Below are 15,230 nucleotides of genomic sequence, written 5' to 3' on the forward strand. Positions count from 1 at the left end.
ATTTTTATATCTATCGTCTCAAGTGAGCCTCCTAAAACCAGCCCTGGGTGGTAGGAAAGCATCATTATCCCCCATTTCAGAGACAGAATAAATAATGAGTCTCTAAGAGGTAGAGTACATCGCTTAGGATCACAGACCTGGTGATTAGCAGAGTTGGGCCTTAAATCCAGTCCTCTGAATTCCAAATACAGTACTCTTTCTTTCTCTCTTGCCTCTGAAATGTGTTACCCCCTAGTGCTAAATATTTAAAAGACCTTAAATGTTCACTCAGTTCTTTTGGCATTTTGTTTCCAAGGAAAATGAATTTCATAAAGTAATTATAATTTCCAAAAAAACTAAAGTATAATTTAGTTCAGTTTCTGATTAAAAACTGAAAAAAATAGTTTTTTTTTCCTTTAAGGATGATGTATAGTGAAAGAACATAAATATTTGTTACCATTTTATTTAATACATAATAAAACACTCATTTATGGAATAGTTGTATGTACTTATCCAAACAGGGCAAACTAAGCTCATTGTTACTCAGAAATTCTTTTAAGATATCTAGCAATCTAGAAAAATACTTAAAAGAACCTCAAAGGCTTTACTGATTTTAATCCCAATTTTAGAAAAGAACATGTTAACTAGGCTGCAGCTCTTGAATGTTTTTAAAAATGCCATAAGGCCGGGCGTGGTTGCTCACGCCTGTAATCCCAGCACTTTGGGAGGCTGGGCGGATCAAGAGGTCAGGAGATAGAGACCATCCTGGCTAACATGGTGAAACCCCGTCTCTACTAAAAAAACGAAAAATTAGCCGGGTGTGGTGTGGGCACCTGTAATCGCAGCTACTCGGGAGGCTGAGGCAGGAGAATGGCGTGAACCCGGGAGGCGGAGCTTGCAGTGAGCCGAGATGGCGCCACAGCACTCCAGCCTGGGCAACAGAGCGAGACTCCGCCTCAAAAAAAAAAAAAAAAAAAAAAAAGCCACAGGAAGAAACAGAACTCTACACCACTTATTTTGTATCTGATCACTCACTGTGTTATTAAGAGAGCCACCAGGAAAAAGTTTAGAAGTCAATACCATTATAAGCAAATGTCTAAAGCATGTTAGTTTTTTATCCAAATTTTTTTAGCCTAAGTTTAATTGTATAAACATGACCTCAACTCATTGTATCTTTAAACATTTGCTGAATACATTCCCATTAGAAATGAGTTTCAGGTAAGGCTTCAACTTTTGCTTTTAGCTTTAAGTAAATATTTTCACCAAGTAGCTCTTCTGAAAATCAAGTTACTCTAGGGCTTAAGGGAATAGTATTTGAGCTATAAGTAAGAGAGTTATCTTGTATCTATTTCCAACCAAGAACACAAAGGCAGATTGTAATTGGCTAGGGAAACTCCTTCAACAACCTGATAAAAGTGATGGTTTGCAGTCAAAAGATTCTGTCAAATTTTAGTACTTTCACTGCTCTTAGAAGCTCCTTGAATTTACCCTTTATACCTCTTATGAAATGTTGGGCATTCCTAAGCACAGAATAGTAGTATAGGCAATGCTAAAATGCTCTTAAGTTTGGTTATACTCTTGACATCTGCATTTACAAGCCAATGCTACTGCAACAAGAATTGCTCTATGACCAAAGAGATCTATGTACACTTATTTCCAGGGACTATTCCTCACAATATATCAGAACTATAAAAGTAATATATAATTTACTGAGTCATTTTCCTAAGAAATATTCATTTTCCTAAGGAATATTAATTCTGACATGATTCCTTTGGGGTGGGAGAAGAGCACAGCTGTTTTTTTGGAGTTGAATAAAAAAGTTATCCTATAAAGGTAGTTTATAACCATCTCTTGATTATTTACATATTGCTTACCCATGTAAACAAATTAAATGTGTGGTTACCTTTCCCTTATCAACAACTGTCAGTTTTACAAATATACAAGCAAGAAATAGCATTCTGGGCCTAGAAAATAACAATATTTCTAAAAAATATTATAGAGATCTTTCCAACTTTATTCTTTAAGGTTAGAGATGTTTTTGAGACACCTTTAGCTTCCCTTTTGAACCCATCATGGAACTTTGAGTTAACTAAAGGTTAACTCTTGAATTATTCTTTACTTAATTCAAGAATTCTTAAATTATTTGAAATCAATCAGCAAGTATTTATTAAATACTTGGTATCTACCTTTGTATCTAAGCTGCATTATAAGCCATGATAAAGATACTGCAAAAAAAAAAAAAAAATTCCAATGTCAAATATAATTTTGGAACTTTGCCCAAAACAAAAAAACTTTCTATAAGTGGTGATGGTTCAAGTGAGTACTTAAAGTGGATTGTTTAAAGAAACAGTTTTAGCTAACCAGTTACTATTTGAGCGTTTACAATGTGTCAGGCACTATCCATTTTTACTACCACCTCTGGGAATTCTCAGAAGCACCCTTGTGGGGTAGATACTATTATTCTCATTTCTCAGGTAAGTTCTGTGAATTACTGAAGGCTACATGGCTAATAAGTGACCTGGGGCTCAGAACTGTGCTCTTATTCAGCATTTTATATAGTTAGTCTTTCCTGCCCCTCTTCAACAATAGTAATATGAAATTTGAAACTGAAAGCCAGAGAATTAAGAATCACTTTTTTGGTTTTGCACTATGGCAGAAGGAAAATACCAGACAATTTGAGAACTTGTTTTTACTTGCACTAGTAAAAAGTAAATAAGTAGACATGCTTTTCCCTGGGATGCAACTTGGATAAAATAGATCATCTTTCTTTCCCCCTATGCTATTTAAGAACTGGTAGTAATGATTCTTTTGTTCAAGAGTCACTTTTTTCTTTGTTCTTTAAGACATCATCTGATAGAGAACCCAAAGAAGACTATTTAATAATTATATTTTAACCACTGTAATAAAAAATGTCTAGGCAAGGAGAGAGGAGGAAGAAAGAAAATTGGAGTTAAAAGCAGAAAATAGCACAAGAAATCAGACAGTTGATCCTGAAGAAATAAAATACACTCAGCTCTTGTTAAAAGCCAATAATATGCTTAGAATAATACATGATATGAAATTTAGAAATAATCCAAAACTACTTTAAAAAATGGTATCTCCTTCTTTGCCTCAAACCTTTTATTAGATGCCAAAAAGAAAGTCATTAAGCTTCACAAAACCAATCTAGTATTTTTCCCTGTGAGTCAATGTAACCTTAGATTCAAAAGAAATTCCTTTTCTGCAGATTTGGAAGAACCAGATTAAAGAACATATGAAGTAAAGAATAATTTCTTTCTAGCCACTACAGCATGGAAAGAGTGAAATATAAGGGATTATCAAAACCAACATCTATTTAGCACAATCCTTGTTTTGAAAGATAGCTTCTAGAAAATGGTGGCTATCTGATACATGCCAAGTTTTATTTATATATATATATGTATGTATGTATGTGTATATATATATATATATATATATATATATATATATATATATATATATATAAAATCTTCATATATATGGTTGTCTTAAATCTTAGGATTTCAAATAGCTCTTGAACATGGAAGGCAAAAATCTAAACCAAACAACCAGCCAAAAAGTTAGTTACTGTGAACCAGCCTTTAAATCAACAACACTTGGCCAGGCATGGTGGCTCACACCTGTAATCCCAGCACTTTGGGAGGCCGACGTGGGTGGATCACAAGGTCAGGATATCGAGACCATCCTGGCTAACATGGTGAAACCCTGTTTCTACTAAAAATACAAAAAATTAGCCAGGCGTGGTGGTGGGCGCCTGTAGCCCCAGCTACTTGGGAGGCTGAGGCAGGAGAATGACGTGAACCCAGGAGGTGGAGCTTGCAGTAAGCCGAGATTGTGCCACTGCACTCCAGCCTGGGGGACAGAGCGAGACTCCGTCTCAAAAATAAAATAAAATAAATAAATAAATAAATAAATAAATCAACAACACTTGAAGCATAGTATTCCACCATTTTTTCCCCCAGATTTAATGTGGGCCTTATAATTGTATAATTAGCTTATATGTCAAATCTGACTGTAAATGCAAATAAAGATTTGTTTCCTGGGATCATGAACTCTAAAGCAGAAGTATAAGGAGAAGTGGTAAAATAAGCTTAGATTGGAAGATGAAGTTTTTTTTTTTAAAACTAGAAATTAATAAAATGTGGCATCTAAAACATTTTTTACAAAGGGAGCCATTGGGGACTTGAAACTGGGAGACTACTTGATCATATTTAATGTTCTGAAAAGATCACTCTAGCTGCTGTGGATTATGGGGGAAGGGTAGAAACTTGAAGGCCACCTCGAAGTTTATGGCAGTGATCCTGAGGAGAGATGATGGTAACTGGGACTGGAATAGCAGTAATGGGTGGGGTTAGATTCAGGATATTTTGAAGGTGACAGTACTTGCTGATAGATCAAATATGTCAAGAAAACAGGAGACAAATCAAGGGTTGCTAGTCAATTTCTAGGCAATTTGATAGAGAGTTCTGCCACTTACTGAGATAGGGAACACTTAGGTAGATAGAGATTTGAGGAGTAAAATCACGAGTTATTTTTAGAAACAGCGAAGATATGGAATCAACCTAAATGCCCATCAAAGGTAGACTGGATTAAGAAAAGGTGGTACATATATACCATGGAATACAACACAGCAACGAAAAAGAATGAGATCATGTCCTTTGCAGCAACATAGATGGAGCTGGAGGCCATTACCCTATGCAAACTAACACAGGAACAAAAAAACAAATACTGTATGTTTGCATTTATAAGTGAGAGCTAAACATTGAGTACGCATGGACATAAAGAGGGGAATAACAGACACTAGGGCCTACTTTGAGGGTGGAGGGTGGAAGGAGGGTGAGGATCAAAAAACTACCTATTGGGTACTATGCTTATTACCTGGGTGATGAAATAATCTGTACACCAAACCCCCATGACATGCAATTTACCTACATAACAAATCTGTACACATACCCCGAACCTAAAATAAAAGTTAAAAAAAAAATCTTACTTGATCCCTCATGGAATCTCATATCAACAAAGGAGAGGATCTTTTATAATAACAAAATCAGGTAACACTTTTATAATTTCCTTTATGTCTGTACTTATTGAAATAGTTGATTGTCAGAAGATAGTTTTCTCCTTGCAATGATTAGCCATACCCTTGAGAAAAACTCCTAAAAGGGTATAAAACACAGTTTGGATATGTAAGGTTTGAGATATCTATTAAACTTTGATGAGGAAGTATATTGGAAATCAGTACTTGGAGCTAGAGAAAAGGATAGATCTGGAGATAAATATTTGGGAGTCATTAATGTATAGATGACATTTAAATTCAAAGGACTAAATGAACTCACCTAGGGAGACTGAACAGATAAAGAGAAGAGATAGAGACCTCCAACATTCAGAGGCCAGTCAAACAGAGGAAAGTAGGCAAAGGAGAATGAGAAAGAATAGGCAGAGAGGTAGGAGGAAAATCAGGAAAGTGTTTCTAATAGGAAGAAGTGGTCAAGAGAATGGAATACCACTGAGGTCTGGTAAGATGGAAACAAAGAGATGACCACCGGATTTTAACAGGGACCTTGGCAGGTATAACCTCACGGGTGTGGTGGAAACAACGGGCTGAGCAGAGGATGGCAGGTAAAGAAGACATCTCTTTGAACACAGACTTTATAGTGTTCATTTTTTTTCACATTTGCCTGCTTCTACTAAAATGACAAGCACTTTCTTGGCAGGGACCATTCATGACTTATTCAGCTTTCTATCTCCAATGCCTAGTTCTATCCCTGGCAAATGTCAGAAGATAAATACATGTTTGCTGAGTGAACAAACGAATATTTGGTAGTTTAACTCTACCTCTTAACTTTTTATTAAAGAAAAAACATCTTAAGATACTCAGCTGACTTTTTATTACATGGACACTTTTTCTGGCTCTTGAGGTATCATGGTTTCTAATAATGGAGCCAAAAGCAATGATATTAAATGTTATCTTAAAATATGCTAATACTTGTTTCTAGCTAAGCATATTTAAGTCTTAAAGTATCTCTGTGAATCTTATAAGAAAGTTCAAGCCTGGCTACACCCTTGAATAAGCTCACAGTTGAGTGAAAAAGTCTTCCAGACTAGGTTATCTCCCTGGATCAAGAAACAAGCGCTCATAATAGTCCATTACAATGTGTATGTATAGCAAAAGTTTTATGCACTCATGATTCTTTTGTTTTTCATAAGGAACTGCCAATAAAAAAGAAATAAAGGAATCAAAACACCAAAACAGAAATAGAGGTAATGTGAGGTAATTGAAAGCACTCCTTCAAGGACTTTAGGAATTACACTATTTCAAAATAAAACTTGAAATGTAAATCCAGGAACGTTATATAGAGTTACTTACGTTTCATTAATCAATAGGACAGAAACCACAGAAGGTCTGATTTCCATGTTAAAATAAAATTAGATTTCATATTATCAGTGCTTTATGATGGCCTTAAGTACAATTTATAGACGTTATTCAATAAAGAAAGTCTATAAAAATACAAACAAAATTTAAAATGCCCTGCTCAAAACCAAATTTTTTTCCCAAAGAATTTCAACTTTCCTCAAAACGTCAACAATCTCCAAAATTTCCATCCAAATAAAACAGTTTATATAAGACATGTTAAGTAATACAGCACTGTTTTATATATCTGTCTGCCTCAAACTCCTGAATATACTTCACAAATATAAAACATCTAATCAAACCCAAGTCTTTTCATTATCAACTAAAAGACTGAGTGAATGTTCACCAAAATATCACTCACATCTTTATCTCTCCTACCCCCAACTCCACTCTCCCAACTGCTTCCAATTTCCCTTTTTCTATTAGGGGTACTCCTCCTAGTGCCAATGGCTAGAAATCTCAATTCAATCCTGCTTCTTTAAAATATCTTGTTAAATTATTCTTTTTTTTTTTTTTTTTTTTTAAGACAGAGTCTTGCTCTGTCGCCCAGGCTGGAGTGCAGTGGTGCGATGTTGGCTCACTGCAAGCTCTGCCTCCCGGGTTCACACCATTCTCCTGCCTCAGCCTCCTGAGTAGCTGGGACTACAGGCGCCTGCCACCACGCCTGGCTAATTTTCTTTTCTTTTTTTTTTTTCTTTTTTTTTTTTTTTTTTGTATTTTAGTAGAGACAGGGTTTCACCGTGTTAGCCAGGATGGTCTCGATTTCCTGACCTCGTGATGCGCCCGCCTAGGCCTCCCAAAGTGCTGGGATTACAGGCATGAGCCACTGCGCCCGGCCAATATCTTGTTAAATTCTATAGACTCTATTCATCTCCTACCTCTCCCACCAACACCCTAGGGTGGACTCCAGTTATCTCTGGCCTGGACCACAAACTTCTTCCTAACTTGTCTATCTCCTTCCAGATTCACATTATAGTCATCCTGCACACCAGGGCCAGAATAATCCTAAAACGTAGATCAAATTACCTTATATTTCTACTCTGTTTACAGAATAAAATCCAAACTTCTTAGTAAGGTAATGAATCTGCTCTGACCTACTTTTTCTCTCTTAAACTCAACTACATTTTTCTCTTGCCCTTCATGTTAAGCAGAACAGGGTCTTTATGGCAATTCTTGGAGCTTGCCCTAGCTACCACTCTTCTTTGCTTACCTATGCCATTGTTTCTGCTGGAGATGTGGTCCCCATCCAGTTTCTGTCTGCTAAAATCTTGCTAAAATCCTTTAAGACCCAAGGATTTTAGACCAATAACATATAGGATCCCTGTGAAGGAAAGAAACTCATGCCATTTGTTTAACAATCTAGTTACTATGAAACCAGCAGCCAAATGCCCTTTCTGTAGAGGTCAATTCAAGGTGATAATTTTATTCATGAATCTTCAAGGAGCTTATAGCTTAATTAATAAAATTCCCTTTTCTTATATCCTGAATTAAACCATGCAAATGCCAGTTTTGGTCTTTGCTGGCAAAGTATTAGTGGCAACTCTTAAACCAGTTCTTCCTGAAGATTTAACATTGGCTCTCAAGAGCCATAGTACTGCCACAGAAAAAAATAGGAAGGAAGGAAAGAAGGAAGGAGATAAAAAAAGACAGAGATAGCAATCCTCGCTGGTAACCTGACCCGAGTTATGCTGTGTTTTCCAGCTTTAATTTGCTCTAAAGACATGGACATTAATTTATTATATTCTACTCCAGAACTGCGGTAAATTTGTGCATAAGTTATAGGAAATTCTGTATGGAGCTGAGGTATGCAGGACAGTCAGATGTTGGGTTATATACATGTTGTTTTCTTTATTGTAAGACTTAGTTCATCTTCAGTGTAGGAATGTCCATAATATCACATTTTAGGGACATTTTCTCAAACAATCTAAAATACATTTGGCCCAATCTAGCAAATGGTGGGCTGGATCTAGTGCCGGGCTCCTAAGCTTCTCTGTTGCAGAGAAAAGGGTCATCACAAATTGTTAAAAGTGACCTAGCCTTAGTTCAGCTGAAATTCTCATTTTCCTCTCTCTGCTGGCTTTATCACCAATTACCTAATAAGCCTTATGAACACAGCTTCTGTAATTTTTCACAAGTGCAAATGGAGCAAATGGAAAGGCTGAATCTGGTGATTGTCCTTGGTAAGCTTTTCTGTAAGTCATTCCAAGAATTCTACGCCCCTTTCCTTTTAAATTCTTTTCTTGAACATGTTCCAATCCTTCACATATGTTCTTTCTTTCTCTTCCCAATTCTGGTGCCAAGCTTCCCTGTCTATCTTTTTAGGCAATCTGGCTACTACTTTTCTCAGGGAGGAACACCCTCCGTTGCATTGAGCAACTGGGCATCTGAATAAACTTTCCAAACACTGAAGGATGGGGCACAAACTTGACTTTACTTGATAAAAAGCATTTTAAAATCAAGCACAGACTGAAAATGGGTCTAAGTTAAAAGTCAGTAGGATTAATTTATTTAAATTAAACTTGGCTACATTTTAAAAGTGGAGCAAATAGAATCTGCTAAAGCAAACCTCACTGTTTTACTTAATAAACATGTCCAACAGTGGTGGCAGTGCTGTGCTGGCAGGTCTGGATGCTCAAGTGGTGGCTTAAGAACAGTCTTCTGCATTTATAAGGCAGATTATTGAAAACACATACAAAATATGGGCAGGCAAAAAAAGAAAGAGAAAAAAGCAGAGTATGAGTCTTTTCTGTGTCTTAAACTATAATGAATCAAATGCTAAAAAGTTCACCTGGTAGAAAAAAAGGATAAGGCAAGGAAGTCACTTACCCTCTGACCTATGGACTCAGTGATTTAACAAAAGGTCAAGTAACACATTGAAGGGAGCTACTATGAAGGACAATAATTTTGGAGGCTTAAATAAGAACTTATGCTTTGTAAATAGCATCTAAAATTATGAAAAATTAAATGGCAATATATATGTACAAATTTTAAAAACATTATCACTTTCCTAGAAGACACTAACAAAGGCAGAAAAATGTATTTCAATCCAATGGAGTTGACAAGAGAAAGTGTTAGCAGAATCCCACTTAAAGGCATCTGCTTTCTGATCTTCAGGGATAGAGCAGGAGTAGCCCCTGCCCCCAAACACAACTATGCAAGACTGTTTATGTAATAGTCAGCAAACATGGTAGTATTATTTGAGCCACCACCTTTGAAACTTTGAGTAAACATTTTTTAAAAACTAAACTGACAGGCTCAGCAACAAAATCTGAAAATAATGCTTTGATATAGTTTTTGTTATAAAAGTAAGTTACTCAAACATCAAAATAAAGCCAGCAGCATTACTGAGGAACCTAGCTAAAATGTATTTTTAAATGTTGGATTTTAATTTTAAATATAGTTTTCCATTTGGGGGAAATATGTAATTACAGTAATATATGCTCATTTAAAATATGTAGAGCTTATGTAGACCACACAATCACAGATAACAATTTAAAATGACTATAAAGTTGTAATTTGTGATTTTATTTATTTAGCAACTTTTCTCCTCATTCAAAATAATCTACATTTTAAAAGGTTAATATTGTAGATATCTGTATTATCATGTCTAAATTTTTCTGCCAATCATGAAAATAACTTTCCAGTTAACATGATACACAATCAACTTGAAACCATTTCTGTATTCAAAGTGAGTAGCAAAACAACTTTTACAAGATATTTACTCCAACTATAACTCTCATTGCTGGACTCACAATGCCCCTCTGCCTGTTTAGAAAGGCTCCCAAGATCACTTCTCTAAAAATAGGGAACCTGAATAATGAAGGTCAAGTAGGATTATGTGTCTTTTGAAACAGTGAGGAATTGTAATTTGAAAAAAAACAAGATTTCAAAATTTTCATCAAATATTCTGTTTCCACAAACCCTTAGAACGCTGTAAATTTGCTCAATTACATCTAAAGAAGTTCTCTGTTCTGCCTAAATCATAGCTTCCTAAAATTTTTAAATTCACTTCTCTGAAGCCTTACGTCAAAGTGGGTTAATTTAGAAGGGTAACTCCAATAGACAAAATAATTTGGACAAAAAAAGAATTCTCTGATGCTTAATTTAGCAAATTAACCTGTTGAAATTTCTGGCTCTTAGTCATTAGAAGAGAAGGAGTAATAGTCATCACTTTACATAGGCCAGAGCTGCTTAGAGGCTACCTGCCATCAAGTACCCTCCTATATGAGTACAGGAATGGTGGCGGACAGTTTTATATGAGAAATTAAAACCATTTTCCCCCCAGAGAGAACAGGTTTGACCACTAGAAACCTCTTCCCAATTAGCCAATCCATGTGAACATGTTCCCAAACAGCAGCTTCAATTTAAAGTCATGAGCCCTATTTCTAATAACGATGGAAGACAAGAAAGACCAAATTAATATCCTTCCACTGGAGGATAAAAGCTCAGCCAGATGCCTACTGCTAGCAACTCTTACTGTGCCCATAGAGGTACACTGGTCTGGCTGAGTCAGGAGGAGGGGCACTGAGGACACACAGGTGGGTGGAGCCTGCAGTAAGTACCAACGGTACATTCAGTCACCAGAAAGGTATCTATCTCATTTTTTTGGTTTCTTCCCAGTTTTCATCCAACTGAGGTTGACAGTTTCACTCCAATTCCTGCTTGCTTGTCCACACCCCTTAAAAAGTGTTTCCATGGCTGAGCTGACAGTGAGTCCTGATAGGAGCTGGTTAAGGATGGTCAGCTTATGTACCATCCCCCGCATGCCACTGTTTCTACCACCAGTTTTGCAGGAGAAAAGGAATCCTAGGACTAATACAAGCTACTTGGCTCCATGCTTTAAGGTAGAGAGATCTGGGAAAAAGTCTTCCTCCTTTCCCTTTGCTGCCTCTGTAGAGACCAACCAGACCCATAAATGGGCATGTACAGAAATGGAAAAAGTACTAGAAGCAGTCAGAAGCAAACAAAGACATTGACGACTTTGGTACCTCTTAAAAAGTAATTTTTTTTTTTTAAATTAAGAACTAAGTGGTGGGTTGGCAGAGAAAGAATTTTTGATCTTCTGTCTCCTGGAAGCTACTGGTATATAAATGCAGGGGCTTTTAGAGCACTGTAAACTTAATCCCAAATATGAAAACACTAGGGTATAGGAAGCAGAAATGAAGGCCATACAAAGGTAGGAAAACAAAGCACTCCCTTCTGGGGCCTCCAGTGGTCATGCAGATCATGACCAATTACTGTCACTTCGCTTTCCCTTCCCCAAGTGGACCTCCTCATCTGCCCACTTTCCCCACAAGTGTACACTGTCAATCTTGCTGTAATCAACTGTACAGTTGCCTGTTGTTTTCCCAAGGTAGCTGGCTGACCTACTGCCCCCAGAGATGCCTCTTCCCACCCACTGTGTGTCAAGTCTTTCTCTGCTCCTCGGGTCTGCTCCTGAATAGGGGCTGGCCGCCTCCTGCTGACTTCTTTTTCTCTGGGCCTCTGGGTTTTCTCTTCACATCCCCAGACCTACCTTCTTCCCACTGCCATTCCTTCCCACGCCCTTCCCTTGGAACAGGCAAGCTTATCTTTCCATCTTGCAAGGCTGAGTTTCTCTCCAGAGTTTCTCTCCACTGTCTGCTTCTGTCCCTCTGCCTGTGTTTCTGGCTTCCCCCATATGGGCCTCCCACTCCGTCTGATGCTGGTCTCTTCACTGCAGGTGCACCTATCTAAGAGTAGCTATTGGCACATGCAGTTTTCTATTTCTTGTATCTCTCCCAGCCATTCTTGAGATTTTCTCTCGAGATTTCACTGTATGTAGGACGGTACCTTTCTCCCTGTGCATGCACTCCTCCCTGACGCCCCCTCACCCCACCACACAAAGTCTGTGAGTCCTTTTCACCATATGCTTCTCTGGTTAGTAACACAAGTGTCCTAGCACGTACATTCATGTGTCCACCCAATTCTGTGAGTACCTTCCTAACAATACACTCACCTCTGAGCCTCCACTGCTGTTTACAAATACCCTATCATGTGAGTTCATTTTCTATCCAAAGCGTGCACAACTAATGCCTTCCTCTGTGTGCACACTTATGGGGTGGGGGGGCTCTCTGAATACACTCCCAGTAAACCAGGGTTCACACCTCTCCTGCCGCTCTGCCTCAGACTCTGCCTTCGCTCTATGTATTTAAAGTGCCTGGCACTAGTGGGAGCTCAACAGATGTCAATTCTTTTCCCCACTTTTAGCTGAATAACTATGTGAATCTGTGTCTCGGTGTCCTTCTGCCCCTCTGTCTGTTGTACGAGACCGGTTGGAGTGTGTTCCTCAGTACCGAACGGGCTATTTGTAAGATGCCCCGTGGGTTCTATCTCCCTTCCGACTCTCTCCTCTCCTGTAAAACGTTACAGGTTCCCCCATATGGCATATCCCTCCCTCACGCGATGTATCCACTCCGGTCTCCCACAGTACTGCATGTCCATAAACTGTTTCCCCATGCACCCTGGTTACCGCGTCCCTTCTCGGTGCTTCCCTGTCTCTCCCATTTTTTTTCCAACATGAAAGCGTCTGGATTTGTAGTCCAATTACAGTGTATGTGCGCCTATCTGAGCCTCTCTCTGTACTGGAGGGGTGTGTGTGTATATGTGTGTGTGTGTGTCCATGGGCTTCTCTCGAAAACGAGGGGTGAGAGGCCCGAGTCTCTGCCCGGGATGCATTGTATCCTCCCCACACCTTCTGGCTCTGGCTCGTTCCCCGTTTACACTTCCCAGAGTCAGCCCAAGACGCCGGGAGCTTTTTCGGGTACGTTGAGCGTCCGTGAACCTCTCTCTCCAGAACCCGATGTCTTGCTCCCGGGGAGCGCTAAGTGTGCGTGAGTCCTCAGGTCTCTCCCCAGGGCACTGTGTTGGTTTGTGTCCGTCCTGGACGCGGCGCGTCTCCAGTAACGCGATGCGCCGGTGTCCCGGAGTCCCTGGGAATGCAGGTGTGTCCCCTCCCCCCCCGTACGCGAAGCGCCAGTGTCCCCGCCGTTCCAGTGTGCGCCGCCCCCTTACACGGACTGCCTAAGTCCCTATCTCTATGAGTACACCGTGTGCCCCTCACCATGCGCCCGAGTCCCCATCCCTTCGAGCACACAGTGTGTCCCCTGATACGTGGAGCGCCTGTGTCCCCAAGTCCCTGGGAATACAAGGTCCCACCCCCACACGCGGAGCGCCTGTGTCCTGTCTCTGAGGATCCACCGTGCCTATGTAACTGGAAAACGCGGGCAGCTGGTGCCCGCGAGTCGTCCCTGGTTCCTTGCCCATACGCTGCTCGCTACCCTCCTTCCCCGCCGAGGGTAGCGTGGTCATCTCACTTCTCTTATCGGGGCCTCTCTCCCTCCTTGGGACCCAACAAGCCAGGAAATCCTCGGGGGCCGTCGGAAAGTCCCGCAGCGGCAGCGCAGCCGACCCAGGGCTGCGGCTGCCTCGGCCCCGCCGCCAGGGGCCGCCCGACTGCCCGCTTCCCCAACGCCCAGGCTAGCCCGGGACCGCGGCGTCAGCCACCCTGCCCGGCCCTGCCCTGCCTGGCCGCTGCGGGCGCTGACGGTAGCAGCTGCCAGCCACGGCTCCGCCGGCCCCGCACCCGGGCGCGGCCAGGCCGTGAGGGGTGCGCTCTGCCTCTCTGAGCCCAGCCTGCCGGCCGGCCCGCTCACCTTGTGGCTCTGGTAAGTCTCGAGCGCCCGGATCGCCGTCTCGGTGAGCTTCACATGCAGTACGGTGATGTTGTCCTGCCCCAGCCGTCCGCACGACAGCCCATAGCGCTGCTCCTCCCGCAGGCCCCCTGTCCCCCCCGCCGCCATCTTAAACTCCCCGGGGTGCCGCCGCCGCCGCCGCTCCGGCTCTAGCCTCCACTGCGGCCGCGGCTGCTTGGGCTTCTGCAGCCGCCGCCACTGCTAGGGCCATCCCGCTGCTGACGTACTGTCATATACTGCGCGGAGCCAGACCTCGGACTGCCACCGCCGCCACCCGCCCCACCCTCCGGCCCCGCGCCCCGCCCCGGGCTCGTCTCATTGGTCTTGTTCCCTTCAGAACCGCCCTCATCGGCCGCCCTCCACTCTCACGGGGGCGGGCCCAAAGTCACTAGAGTTTTGCTCCTGGGACGGGACGTCCGAGAGGTAAGAGGCTGACGTCTAGGTGACGCGCCAACTTAATCATGTCTGACGTCACGTCTGGTCGTCTTGGCTAGCCGGCCGAGATTGGCCAGGCTGGCTTGGGGACTCCCCTGCTAATTGGAAGTCCAGGTTGCCTGGTCTGGTTACCTGGAGTTGGAGCCCCGCCCCTGTGGGGGATAGTAGTGAAAAGTCAGAATTGGGGAATCTCGCCCTACGCGGGTGGTCCTTGGAGAGGAGGATCTCCACCTCCACTATGTAAGGGGATGGCCGTGACCAAATAAGGACTTTGTTCCCCGACGGCTGCGGAAGCTGTGGAACTTGGTGCGTGCGTGTGGGGGAGGACGCAGCAGGAGGACTCGCTAGAGAGCTGCTCCTCAAAACTCCTAGTACTGTAGTTGAGCAAACGGCATTGGGAGGAAACTGCTCACTCTAAACTTGAAGTTATCGGGTGCCACACGCAGAGCTTATAAAAACAAAAACAAAAACAAAAACCCTTGAAATTAGTGAGTCGACTCTTAGATGTAGGAGTTGTGTTAGATCTTGTGGAGCATCTTAAGGACAAAATCACGCGGGAGGTTAAATGCCTTTCGTATGGTGGGCATGGTATAATAGAGAATTGAGCTTCGAGGTCTTTCCTACGCCATGCCCTGTTGTGATTCTCTGGGATCACAACTGGTGGGGATGATATC

At 41.5% G+C, this 15,230-nt stretch overlaps 2 protein-coding genes and 1 long non-coding RNA gene across 11 annotated transcripts in view, besides 4 other annotated features; 2 read left to right on the forward strand and 1 right to left on the reverse strand.

Annotated features, from left to right (window-relative positions):
- The window catches only part of ELL2 (elongation factor for RNA polymerase II 2), a 76,754-nt gene extending 62,395 nt beyond the window's left edge, over positions 1 to 14,359 (reverse strand). For both annotated transcript variants that reach the window (NM_012081.6, XM_017009239.2), the window contains exon 1: positions 14,083 to 14,359. In NM_012081.6, coding sequence (NP_036213.2) covers positions 14,083 to 14,229 — 147 coding nt within the window. In that variant the 5' untranslated portion in view covers positions 14,230 to 14,359. The remainder of the gene's footprint in view (positions 1 to 14,082) is intronic.
- Positions 13,773 to 14,182: a silencer, noted in NCBI's record as "silent region_16189". NCBI's record gives its function as "represses an Ori minimal core promoter by ATAC-STARR-seq in GM12878 lymphoblastoid cells {active_cell/tissue: GM12878}" and the evidence as "EXISTENCE:reporter gene assay evidence [ECO:0000049][PMID:35858748]".
- Positions 13,937 to 15,230, forward strand: part of CAST (calpastatin) — an 813,255-nt gene continuing 811,961 nt past the window's right edge. For 5 of the 8 annotated variants that reach the window (NR_186779.1, NM_001423254.1, NM_001423259.1 and 2 more), the window contains exon 1: positions 13,937 to 14,094. The gene's annotated coding sequence lies outside the window, so the exon portion shown is untranslated. Of the gene's footprint in view, positions 14,095 to 14,508; positions 14,545 to 15,230 lie in introns of those variants that run through there. The other 3 variants (NM_001423250.1, NM_001423251.1, NM_001423256.1) reach the window with 1 other exon arrangement.
- Positions 14,211 to 14,968: an enhancer, noted in NCBI's record as "H3K27ac hESC enhancer chr5:95297407-95298164 (GRCh37/hg19 assembly coordinates)". NCBI's record gives its function as "activates a minimal SCP1, AML or CMV promoter by ChIP-STARR-seq in naive H9 embryonic stem cells {active_cell/tissue: H9 hESC(naive)}" and the evidence as "EXISTENCE:reporter gene assay evidence [ECO:0000049][PMID:30033119]".
- Positions 14,253 to 14,492: a silencer, noted in NCBI's record as "silent region_16190". NCBI's record gives its function as "represses an Ori minimal core promoter by ATAC-STARR-seq in GM12878 lymphoblastoid cells {active_cell/tissue: GM12878}" and the evidence as "EXISTENCE:reporter gene assay evidence [ECO:0000049][PMID:35858748]".
- Positions 14,448 to 14,915: a silencer, noted in NCBI's record as "fragment chr5:95297644-95298111 (GRCh37/hg19 assembly coordinates)". NCBI's record gives its function as "represses an EF-1alpha promoter that drives an FKBP-Casp9 reporter gene in an ReSE screen in HepG2 liver carcinoma cells {active_cell/tissue: HepG2}" and the evidence as "EXISTENCE:reporter gene assay evidence [ECO:0000049][PMID:32094911]".
- LOC101929710 (uncharacterized) overlaps positions 14,509 to 15,230 on the forward strand; it is a 669,085-nt gene continuing 668,363 nt past the window's right edge. The window contains exon 1 of the long non-coding RNA NR_130776.1: positions 14,509 to 14,544. This is a non-coding gene — a long non-coding RNA (uncharacterized LOC101929710). The remainder of the gene's footprint in view (positions 14,545 to 15,230) is intronic.

This window comes from Homo sapiens, chromosome 5 (genome assembly GCF_000001405.40).
Source record: "Homo sapiens chromosome 5, GRCh38.p14 Primary Assembly".
Lineage (NCBI taxonomy): Eukaryota > Metazoa > Chordata > Mammalia > Primates > Hominidae > Homo > Homo sapiens.